Below are 12,868 nucleotides of genomic sequence, written 5' to 3'. Positions count from 1 at the left end.
CGTGTTACCAAGGCTTCAGGGGCCTAGGCCCTTGTGAACTACGTGTTTCAGTAATTAATCTTCTCCATCCTGAAGCCCTTATATGTGGGCAGCCGTCACTAAAGCCAAGGGCCATGTTGCAGATTAGTTGCTTAAGTGCAGCCTGGAAGCTGCCTTCCGAGTGAAGTGGTGCTAATTAAACCCTGCACCCCCACCAGGACCACTGCTTGTAAGACAAACTAGTTGTTAATTATGACCTGGGCACTATTTTGGAATTTGCTGATGGACTCCTGAGGGTTTGATTAGTCCTTAACATAAAAACATCAGTTTATTCTGGGGAAGCCCATAAGTGAAGAATTCTATCTTGATTTTAGGTCCTTTTATTTGAATTAGGTCATAAGAAAATTATGTGAAGTTAAATGAAGAATTCCAAACAATTAAGCAGTGTGATATTTTTCAATAGCAATTATTATTTGTATTATTTATTATGCCTGAAAACTCAGATACAGGAAATTAAAAGAGTACAGCAAAATTCTTTTACATTATAAATAGAAAGAAAGGCATAGTGTCACTGACAGTTTCAGACATTAATTTTATTCTTTTCGAATTAGAATAGAATGTAAATGAGATAATTTCACTTAAATTTGATTTTTCCTCTCTCAACACATTTAATATAATAATTTAACTAACTGTGTGGCTGGTAACAGCTATAGTAAATGTACAGATTATGTAAAACCATTTCATTATGACCTGAATAGTGGTGATGACTTTAGCTGGAGTCATTATTTAAGTTCTTGTGAAAGTTCCATTAACGTTTCTTTCCTATACCAAATTTACTGCTGTCACACTTAAAAATCATAAGAAATGAGGAAACAAGCATCACGCGATAGGAAAAAATCATATGCTCTGCAAGCAACATTTTAACAAAGTCTATTTCCACATATTTACACTGATCAGTTTTTAGTCTATTTATTTTCGGCAGATTTACTGACCAAATTCTGAAGAGACTGGGCACAGTGGTTCATACCTGTAATCTCAGCCCTTGGGGAGACTGAGGTGGGAAGATTGCTTAGCCCAGGAGTTCAAGGCCAGCCTGGACAACATAGCGAGACTTCATCTCTGCAAAAAATAAAACAAAATTAGCTGGGCATAGTAGTGCACCTGTAGTCTCAGCTACTTGGGAAGCTGAGAGGGTAGGGTCACTTAAGCCTGAAAGTTAAAGGCTGCAGTGAGCCGAGATCGCACCACTGCCCTCCGGCCTGGGCAACCGAATGAGACCCTGTCTCAAAAAAATACATATTTAAAAAACAAACAAATACACCCACAAAAGTCTGCAGAACCATTGTTATTGAAATGGTTCTAAATTTTGGCCTTCTCTGTGTATTTGTGTGTGTATATGTATACACATGAAAACAGAGAGTTTTGTTTTCTAACACTACCACTCAATGATTCAATAACATGTTATTGTTTTAAGATCTTAGAAATAGAGAGAAACAAGAAAGAACAAGGAAAAACAAATCATTGCAATCCAATCAAAGTCCAGCTTCATAAAATTTAAGCTGGTAAGACTGAAAGGAAAGGATAACCATAGTAGAAACCCTAGTCTTTGATCTAGATAAAGAGAGAAAAACTTGGGAGACAACAAAAGGAAAAAAGTCCTATTAATGCTAATTTCTGGCAACTTATACTAAAGAATGATGATTTATATACAGTGAGCACTTACTAATTGGCAGGCACTTTATGTTACTTTATCTTCCCAAACAGTCTATAATGTAGGGGACTACAATTCTCACCATTTTAGGGTTGAGAGTATTGAGCCTTCAAAGAAAAGCTAAAGCAAGTGGTCCATTTCTAAAAAGTAGTAAAGTCAGGATACAAATTCACTATGGTATTACAGAGATCAATTTATTAGCTACCACGCTAATTATCTCTCTTCCAGTTTCAGAGATTCTATAATGATTGCAAATTACTGTAAAATTTCATGCAAAAATTAGAAAGCAGAAACTCTGTAAGTTAATACTGCTTTTAGTCATAGTAATACATGAAAACTTTCAGGTAACTTTTGAGATTTGCATTTAAGATGCCAAAAAAGCAAGAAGGCTTAAATACCTCTCCTATATCTGATTTCATATCACCAAAGTTGACTTGGAATGACCTCAAAATGTTTTACTCATGGCAAAGAGATGAAGATGCTGGGCTGAAATCTCCAAGCAATGGTTTCATTGGTCATCATATTATTTTTATACCTGAAAATGCAATTCTTCATTCATACAAAATGCATAGTTTTATGCATTTTGCCAAATAGAACATTTATTATTTTATTACTCTAAGATGTATTTTTTCTCAGTTTCACATATCTGATATAGTGGCTTACCTTATAATCACTGCTTACCTTTAGTCAAGGTTTTCTCCAAAAGTTTTTATAAACCTTCAGTGCAGTTTACAATCCAGGGAATACTATGTTCATTGGCTCCTCCTCCTCCCAGAGCCCCATTCTCACTGTGAACACTCATGCCCAGGTCAGCCAGCATGGCTGCATTACCTCGTGTCAGGCAACCAGGAAGCACAGTCTGCCCATGAAATACATTAATCACCAATCTGACGGTAGGAGAAAACCTCTCAATAAATATTAGAAATAAACATCTTGGGCCAGGCATGGTGGATCCTGCCTGTAATCCCAGTGCTTTGGGAGGCCAAGGCAGGATTTCCTGCTGCCAGGAATTTGAGATCAGCCCAGGCAACATAATGAGATCTTGCCTCTACAAAAAATGAAAGTTAGCTGTGGGTGGTGGCATGTGCCTGTAGTCCCAGCTACTCTGGAGGCTGAGGTGGGAGGATCGCTTGAGCCCAAGAGTTCGAGGCTGCAGTGAGCGGTGATAGCACCACTACACTCTAGCCTGGGTGCCAGAACAAGATCCTGTTCTAGAAAAAATAAATACATATAAATCTTTACAAGGAGCTCCCAAGTTAAGACACAAAAGCTGCTACAGCAAACCGTGTATCCCTGTGTGTCACATTACAGAACTGATAAACACTTGGAATTGGTTTCTTCATTGTAAGTTTTGATTATTGGAACTATACCTACATAGGTATTTGTGAGTAAGATTGTATATAACAGATAGCAATCTGAAAATTATGTACAAGTAAAGTATAACATTGTACAATATTGCTACTATTTCTAAGATTCCAAAATATTTGTGTCAATTGTAGTTCATTCTATGTAGCAAAAACATTTCCTGCATCATCACAGGTACTGCCAAGTACAGTAGATTTAAAACTAAAATGGCTCACTAGTTTCTAAATAATCCCCTAGGAAACAGTTTAGTCTAAACCATTATCTTGATAGTTCATAATTAGGTTCAATAATAAAGCTTGTTTTGCTGACCTAGGTCAGATCAGCATGTCCACAGCATCTGGGCACAGTGACCTTGCTTTGAGAGGGTATTGTTAGAAAATCCATTATTATCATCACATACACTTCAGAGAAGTGGCTGTTTTGTGAATTGATGGTGTGATGTTGCCACTTTAGATAAAAGAGTCCATGAATTATTGACTTAATGAGTTAATGTTGCTTGATTTCACAACAAAGTCTTTACAGTCTTGATGAAATTTACTGAACACATAATCACAGCATATGAAGGAAAGCACAGGTGATAGGCTCTGCTGTGCATTTATGAGCCACATCAAATCTGGAAAAGATATGAACCTCAGAGGTGTCACCGTCTCTCTCTTGAAAGCATGACACCTTGGTCAGTGTGTCTTAAGGCCAATTCATGAACAGTCACTTGAGATGGCTTTCTTACCATTATTTTTGTCTTAAACACAGAGCAGTTAATTGCTTTTTCCCCTCCCCCTAGAGTTCATTTTGGTCCCCAGGCGAAGCCTTGAGGTCAGTCCTGTGTAATCATCCTGGCTGTGTGGTATGGGTGCAGCCCACAGAGAAAACCTATCACAGGGGAAATATGCCAGTAGCCTTGAGCTTGCCACGGGAAAAAGGAAGCAAAATCTTCTAATCTGATGATGTTTTTCTTCAGAGTACACCAAACATGGGAGAGATGATAAAAACCCAGGCACAAGGCAGTTAACAGGTTCTCCAGAGAAGCTGATGAGCAGGTGAGACCCAATTATTCAGTGAGCCAGTCCTAATTCGGGTTTTGCTACCATTCATGGGGGGCTTATTATCTGCCAAGACATTTCTGTATAAATCTGCCCAACAAACTTACAAAGTAGACGTTATTTTTCCCACGTTACAGATAAGGAAATTGAGGCCCAAAGACAAAATAACTTGCTGCAGAGCTAGCAGGGAAGGGGTCAGGATTCCAAGTGGGTCTGGCTGACTCCCAGGCATGTGTGAATAGCCACTGCACAGAACGGTGGCCTCCTGACTGCCAGGTCTAGCATCTGTTTGCTGTTTAAAAAGTCTATAAATCTGTCTGGCTTTGGGATCTCACTTGAAGATACCTCCTTTCATCCTCCAAGTCGAGTTAAATGTCCACAATATTCAAGATGGCTCACATTTCAGTCCCAGCATGACGTTGCAACCTTATCTTCCTCAATTCCCACTCACATGTCCTTTACTGTCAGTTTCCCAGCATGCCATTTGTTTATTTATCAAGACCATGGCTCAGATCATTTCTTCCTGTCTCTCCCGAAATCTGGTACATTTTTTCAAAACACAATTTTTTTGTGTGTTTTTGTTTTCATGAAGTCTTTTCGGATCCTCCACCTCCATTAAAAATTATTTCCTATTTCCATCTTCAAATCTCATAGCATTTTGCTTGTGCCTGCCTCTCTTAAGGTATTTCATCATAGTCTGAATGTGATCATTTCTTGTGGGCTTATCTAACTACTTCTTGTGATAACTGGAAGCCCTTCGAGGGTAGAAACCATGTCCTAGTCATCACTGCATCTCCAGGGTTTAGCATCATATTTAGAATGAGGGATGCTCAATAAATGCTTGTGAGATGAATAATTAGATAAATGAATAATTGTGAAGAAACAGCCGGGCAAATTAGTTGGGTCATGATTCAGAGGTACTCCATGCAATGTCTTGGTGAAAGGACTGCTATGAAAGAATAGAGAGGCCAGGCACGGTGGCTCAAGCCTGTAATCTCAGAACTTTGGGAAGCCAAGGCAGGTGGATCACCTGAGGTCAGGAGTTTGAGACCAGCCAGATAGGGTGAAACCCCATCTCTACTAAAAATACAAAAACTTAGCCAAGTGTGGTGGTGGGCACCTGTAATCCCAGCTGCTCAGGAGGCTGAGGCAGGAGAATTGCTTGAATCCAGGAGGCGGAGGTTGCAGTGAGTCGAGATGGTGCCATTGCACTCCAGCCTGGGCAACAGGGGGAGATGCTGTCTCAAAAAAAAAAAAGAAAGAAAAAGAAAGAAAAGAAAAAGAAAGAAGGAAAGAAAGAAAGAAAGAAAGAAAGAAAGAAAGAAAGAAAGAAAGAAAGAAAGAAGGAAGGAAGGAAGGAAGGAAGGAAGGAAGGAAGGAAGGAAGGAAGGAAAGAAGGAAGGAAGGAAGGAAAGAAAGAAAGAGAAAAAGGAAGAAAGAAGAAAGAAAGAAAGAAAGAAAGAAAGAAAGAAAGAAAGAAGACAAAGTTGACTTTGCTCATTCATCCCTGCATCCCAGTCCACAATTTTGTTTGTATATTAGAATTCAGGTATGGAATGGGAAAAAATAAACTGTGATACGTAACAGCACCTTAGCCCCTTCTCACTGGCCCTACTTTCTTTGCCTGAAAGGAGATTTAGGCCAAACTGGGAAAAATTTCAGCCCCAGCTTGGCCAAGTTGCCTGATGGTATCATAGCTCAATTTCCTCATCTGTATGATGGGGGTATAATAGTACCTATTATTATTTACCTCATTTCTGGATACACTGTATGTCCCCACTTGTGATTCTTCCTTTGCACTTTCACATACAATGGGCTACTCTGTTAGAAAGCTCTTTCTTATATTAAGCTAAAATTGGTCCCACTAGTCCAAGGTCTACCTGTTAGAAATTATGGAACAAATCTAACCCCATTTCTATATAACACTTTTGGGGGTGGCACAAATACCCATCGGGGATGCACACATGCACTTTATTTGCTACATAAGCATAGCACAGGTGCTCAGAGTCACAGTCAACCATTCTGAGAACTTAAGGGAGAAGCAGCCCAATTCATGGCTCCATCCCTGACTATCTGTCTCTGCTACAGGAGTCAGTGTGACATAGTGGAAAGAAAACAGATGTTTAAGTCAGAAGTTCCTGGAGGCAACTTCTGACCCTACCCAGTGTGAGGTGAGTCATTTAACCTCTTTGAACCTCAAACTCAAATAATCTCATCCGTAAAATGATCAGGGGCTCCAACTGAAAAAAAGATGTAACAGTAACTATTTGAATTTCCACCTTAAAATATTTTACCAGAGTTTCAAACATTTAAACAAAAGCATCCAATAAAATAACATCAAAGACTTTTCAAATATTCCAACAAATGGCTATTGCTGATACATTAAATGTGAATAACTTCACTTCTTTTTTATCATTTAATTTCCAAATTTAAAAAAATAACAATAAGGGTGACAGTACTTTTAGATCATGTCATATGGAGTCAGAAAAAAAGCTGAAACTGTTCTGTGATTCATAAAAGGTTCCTAAAACCACCAGACAAGGCTTCGAGGAATAGGAAAAGGGAGCTGGAAGCCCAGGGAGGAGGTGTTCTTATGTCCCTCAGGGTCCCCCAATCCTCAAGCCTATGGACACGAAACTGTGGGAGAGAGGAGAGAAGGAGGCCCAAGGCCTGTAGAGAATTTGCACTCCTTGACTAGGGGGAAGCCCCAGTACTTCCCTTGCACTGGATTTCCCCAGCCACCTCACTTTCAAGTCATAGTTGCTGGGATCCTCTATCTTCAGGACCTTGGACAAGTTCTCCCAGTGATGCACCAGAGAAATGTCTTTGCTCAACTGTTCATCATCCATGGAGTTAGAAAACCTTTGTGTTGAGTGGAACCCCAGAGGGAGACCATTGAATGTGTTATAAGAAACAGACTCTTTGCCACTCAAGAGGCACCATGTTTTGTCATACATCAGCACCTTTCCTCTGGCTGTACCCCAGCCCTCATTCCTAAAAAAATGTTATTTCCCCACATCTTGACCTATGTCTAAGTGAGAGGCTGTCTTCTGTGTAACGTTTTCTCACACTGGTCTTTCTGATTTCCTATACCTCTTAATGAGCATATTCTTATAGAAAGAGTATACGAGAAACTGTTTTTGTCTATCTCATGTGCTTGGCACAGTGTATCTGTTTATTCTTTTTCTACCTTTGTCACTACAATCTACGTCCTATCCCAGACACTGATACTGTCCTCCTTTCTCCTTCTCTACACCACAAAACCACTCTTAAGGTTTGTCTGGACTTGCTCTTCCACTTCCTTTCTCACCCCCTACCCTACATCCCTTTCTATCCTAAGTCGTGTAAGTTGTGTGTTTCTTACCCCCAATGAAACTGAACCCTTAAAGGCATACCATGACTTCTAAATCTCCTACCTGCCAAGAAACTCAGTGCTAAATCTAGTGCTCAACTGCAGCACTTAACTCACTTCTAGTGCCACCTTCTAGTTCATTATTGAGCTGTCTTCTTAAAATGTTTATTTCAGTTCTCCTACTTAATGTGTGTTATAATCTTTTAAGTATCTTCAAATACATTTTGGGAAAGGGCAAGAAATAACTACTTGTTACCAAAGTCACTGAGTCCCGTGGTTCCTTCTCAGCTCGCACCCACCTCTGCCCTTCTCTAACTTTTGATGCTGCTGCTGGCTGTCACATGGAAACACCCTCCTTGTTCCATCTCTGTCATGCTCTGTCTCTACTTTCTTTGCTCTCTCCTTGTCCTGCCTGAGGCAGACACAGTTCCTGCCATTTGCCCTAGTTCTCTCTTCCCCTTGTTTCTACTTTCTTTCATCCCCACCCCATTCTCTCTCCAATGGATGTCCCACTCAGTGCCATGGTTCAACTAGGACTGAGATGTCAATGACATGGGTGCCAGTTCAGGCTCAAGCCCCAGGACTACATTTCCAGTGGCCTCTTCAACAGTTCTTGGAAATGCTATGGGTACCCCAGACTTGATAGATCTAAAATTTTCTTTCATCTTCTTCCCATCCTCTTCATTTTTATTAATGACATCACCAGATCCTTGGTCTCCTAGATTTCAAATTTCAGAGCCATCTTATACTCCTTGCTTTCCATTATTCCATAATCCATTAATAGCCAAATGCTGCCAGATCAGCATCCTCCATGTCCCACATTTGTCTCCTCTTTTCTATCCCCTCTGCCTCTGTCCTAGCTCCAACTCTCATTCGTGCTTCCTTCCCTATATCCCTGCTGCAGTCCCCTATTTGGCTTCCCTGCTTCTAGTCCTTCCCAATGCCAATATGGTTTTACACTGTGCCAGAATAATCTTCCATAAATACCTCTCTGACCATATGACCCCCTGTTCCTATACCTCTGATGCCTGCCCAGTGCCTAGAGAACAAAGGCCAGATGACTTGGCATTCCAGTCAAGACCCTACAGGATTTGGGCACCAAGATCCTTTTCCTTACTGTCATCTATTTCCCCTGCCTTTTAGTTCCAGAAAACTCCTTGTCCTTTCTCTCTTCCTTGCCTTGATTCATACTCTTCCCGTCTCTTCATCAATACCTAACCAGTTTTCAAATGCTTCCCTGCCTAAATCTTTCCTAATCTCTCTAGCGAGACCCATCTTTCTCATCTGTATTTTGCTAAACCTTTATTAACATTTGGTATCAGTCTTACAGGGAACTCATTTTTTTTAAAAAAATTCCTATATGCTGGGCTATGTGTTTCACATTTTGTACTTTTCAATGTTTACAATTCCATGAAATGGGTTTATTAAAACCATTTTGTAGATGGAATAACAGGTTCATAAAGCCAAGCTACATGGGCAGTGAAGCACAGTGGCTCTTCAGACCATACTCCCTACACTCTTTACACACCAGATAACCTCTTTTAAATAAGTATTCCACTTCGTCCTCCCTTAAGAGCTACAGAAATCTAAGAGAACTGATATGACTACTTAATAGTGATAAAGTAGCTCTGTCTTTGGACTGTCCTAGTCCCAGTTCTTTGTGTGGCTTTTCTCCTTTTAGACCCTCTTCTGATATTTGGTTACTATTGCCTTTTAAAGGTTTCATTATTATGCATAATGTATTCATCGAAGGGCAGCATTTCCTGTAATTTATGTCTCTTCATTTTACTACTCAGCAATTCCTCAGTATTTAACCTCATAAATTTCCAGTTATTGTCCTATATTTACACATTGCATCTGCTGGAGAAGTCTGTGCAATTTATTACTACGTGGAAGCTAAAGGGACACAAAGAGGGCGAATCTTCTGCTTATGCCCCTACTATCTAAGTCAGATTGCTCATGATTAGGAGCAAATAGTCTCACCTACCTCCACCCTTTTGCATTTATCTTATTAAATAACATAAGGGCCAAATTTCCTTGACTTTCCAAAATCATCTCCTATCCATCCCTGGGACCCTGAACTGCTGGCCTCAAAGCCCATTTGAGCTGTCAGGCATTTCCTATGCTGTACCTCTCAGTTTCCTGGGCTGCCAGATCCTCCTCCTCTGAAAGGTCAAACAGTACTAAAACCTCACCTCATCTGGCTCTCAGTCCCCTTTGTTTCTCTTATATTGTTCTGCCATTGCCCTAAAGCCAAAAGATCTTTGGGGCAGCGGCCCTGTTTGGTGTTTGGCACAATTTCATTTACTGAACATCTCGATGTACATTTATGATGCCATATAACTAATAATAAAAACAGGACAGCCTAGGGCATCGTTTTTTATTGTCAGCTCCGTGGCAGCTGTGGGGGATGGGGAGGCAGAGGATAGAGAGTGCAGGAATGGTGCAGGACTCCCCAGGAGAGGCCAGTCCTTGCTGAGCCCATTCTGCAAGCCACATTCCTTCCCAAATGATCCAAACCTTGTCCAGACCCTCTCAAAGAGCCATTCCAAGCTTTCTGAACACTCTGCAACTGTGCAGAAGGCCAGATCAGAGGCTTTTGTGCACTACCAGGGAGGTACCTAAGCTGTGCACCCCACTATTTTTCAGATGGCAAGTTTGCCCACCTTTAGGCATGTGCAGAATGGATGACAGCAGAGCTCACGCAGATCATCACTGCTTGTTGCTAAATTGACGTGGCTGTCCTCGGATGCCATCAGCTGTGCAGTAATCCATATTAATAGCTGGGCTTCAAAGTAGCCATTTGTATGCTTTGCCTTTCTCTGTGGCTGTCTACTCTTTGTGAATATGGCCTGGATGGTATATGCCCCCGATCCTCTGACTTGGACTTCAGCATGTTGAAAAGGCTATTACTAGGTTTTAGAGGCAAAAACTTGCTCTTTGAAAGTGTTATTAGAAGGCAGCATAGAATAATGGAAAGAGCCTTGACTCTGACATTAAATGGCCTGCCTTGTGTTTCAGGTCTGCCCTTTACTAGCTGTGTGATTTTGTGTAAATTACTCAACCTCTCTGAGCCTCAGTTTTCTCTTCTGTAAGTAGAGAGAAGAGAATAATTCTACCTCACAAGGTTGTTTAAAAAATTCTGTGTAGTCTCTTTGTATATTAAAGTAAATGTATACATTATTTGCTGAAAAGTGCTACGTAAGAGGTCATTGCTATCATTATTTTTAAAAGAAAAGTACAGAAATAACTCTTGCGCTACGTAACTCTTACATTATTACTATGGAGGTGTAGCAAAGTGAATGATAAATGTTGAAGCCTACACTGAAGGGAGGAGAAATAAACTGCAATTTCTAACCCAGATGATTCCTCCTATTTCAGATGCCTTGGCTGATCCGGAACACTTGGCACAGCTCTGCCACAAGTGCAATTATTGGCAGCATCCGCTACAGAAAAAGTAAGTGAACCTTTCTAAGCTTAAAGTAAAAATCAATGCTGATTTTTACATCTATTCTGAGTGTGTGGCTTGTAAACAGTTAAAGGACTTGTGCTGTGGCGATTCATGGATTAAAAACTGCAGCGCACACGGGTGGGATGTACTGGAAAAACGAATTCTGTCCACCTGACTGCATTGACCATGGAAACACATGGTTAGCTGGAAGCAGCTCTTGAAATTTGCCAGAGCCCAAAGGACTGAATCTAGGTTACAAAATTTGTGTCAGTGAAAAACAGATTCATTTTGGGTGGGTTGTTTAGTCACGGTGCCAAAGCGAAGACAAACTCAACACACAAAGGAAAGAGAATTGACCACCTGGGATGAGGGCTAGCGTGTATCCTCTTCTGAAATTTCCTTAATGATCTCAGCTGTTTCTGCCCCACATGCTGTTTGTGAAGGGACCAATTCTCATTATCTTCTAAAATGATCTCTTCTCGCTATATGCAAACCCTCGTCGGCACACTGTGCATGCTATTTGGGGAGTTATTACAGATGAGTTAACAATGATCTCTGAGCCGCACATGCTAAAGCTGCACTGACTGGGCCCTATGGAAGAAAGGGGTCAAGCCCCTTATAAGTTCTGAGGACCCAACAGACATTTCAGAAACAGAAGGTTAATAAAAAATGAAGGGATAATCTGATTTGGAGAATATTTTCTTTCATTCAGAAAAGAATATGCCCTGTAGTACTTTCTTGGACTTCCCAATATGCTAATTTTAAAAAGAAAGTTGAACAAGCATCTTAGCTGTCTACCTCAACTATAACTAAGAAATCCATCTAGTCTATAAAAAGGACAAGGCCATAAGGAGGTGTTTCCTCAACTGCAGGCAAAGGAAGGAAAAGTCAGTTGCTGGCTTGGATTTGCTTTTGCTTCTTTGTTGGTTTGGACTCCCAGTTTTTGCGCATTGGAAGACGTGTCTACCCACTGGCCCCCTAACCCAGTACTTCAGGTTTCTTCAGTCAATAGCAGGAAGGAAGGAAGGGGATCAGGGCAGACACTCACAGCCATTTATCTTCTTCTTCAAGTGCTGCATTCTTTGTAAATGAAAGAGGCCAATCAATAGGGCAATAAGGAAGGAGGACAAGTAGCTGGGAGGGACCCACTGCATGGTGAGGTCTATTCACAGCCAGGGCCCCTTGCCTTGTGCACTCTATCCCGGAGGCATGACTCATTAGCATTCCAGAGAGGTTTGTTATTGAAAATTAGCCCTCTATTACACAGAACAAGATGATCACAGTGAATATTTTCACTGCTGGCCTCTGTAGAATAAATGTACACATCTGTTTAACATTTGGAGTTATTGAAATCAGACCTGTTGTGCATTTGCCATCTATTAAGAGGCAGTGCTATAAAGGGGAAAGTCCCAGACCAGCAGTGAGACAGACTGGGGTTCAAATCCAGACTTTACCTCTTATCAGCTCTGTCCACTTGTACAGCTACTGTGCTTCTCTGGACTTTAGTTTCCTCATCTGTGCAATTGGAATGATAACAATACCTACCTTACAGAATATAATGACCTAAGATAATCTGTATTAAAGTAATTCATATAATGCATATAGCAAGTGCTCAAAAATGTCAATTCTGTTAGTATTGCATGAAAACTGAAATACTAAAGGTTTGAGGAGAGGAAATAGGCAACTCTTTGAGAACCCATAAAGCCCTCTGAAGCTGTTCTCCCATACTGGTATATTTATAATTTCTTTGAGGTGGGGACTTTTCCTTAACTGTGAGTCTTCCCTAGTCCTAAGGAGATGATATATATGACATGCCAATATGGGGAGATACTAAACATCACCACTTCAAATCTCATGTGTTGATCATATAACTCTTGATTGGGATGGAACCCTAGAACACCCACAGCTTCATCCACTCATTTTGTAGAAGCCCTGAAAAAGGTTAAGTGACTTGCTCAGGGTAACATGTT

This window comes from Homo sapiens, chromosome 15, assembly GCF_000001405.40.
Source record: "Homo sapiens chromosome 15, GRCh38.p14 Primary Assembly".
NCBI lineage: Eukaryota > Metazoa > Chordata > Mammalia > Primates > Hominidae > Homo > Homo sapiens.
This window is presented reverse-complemented; position numbering follows the sequence as displayed.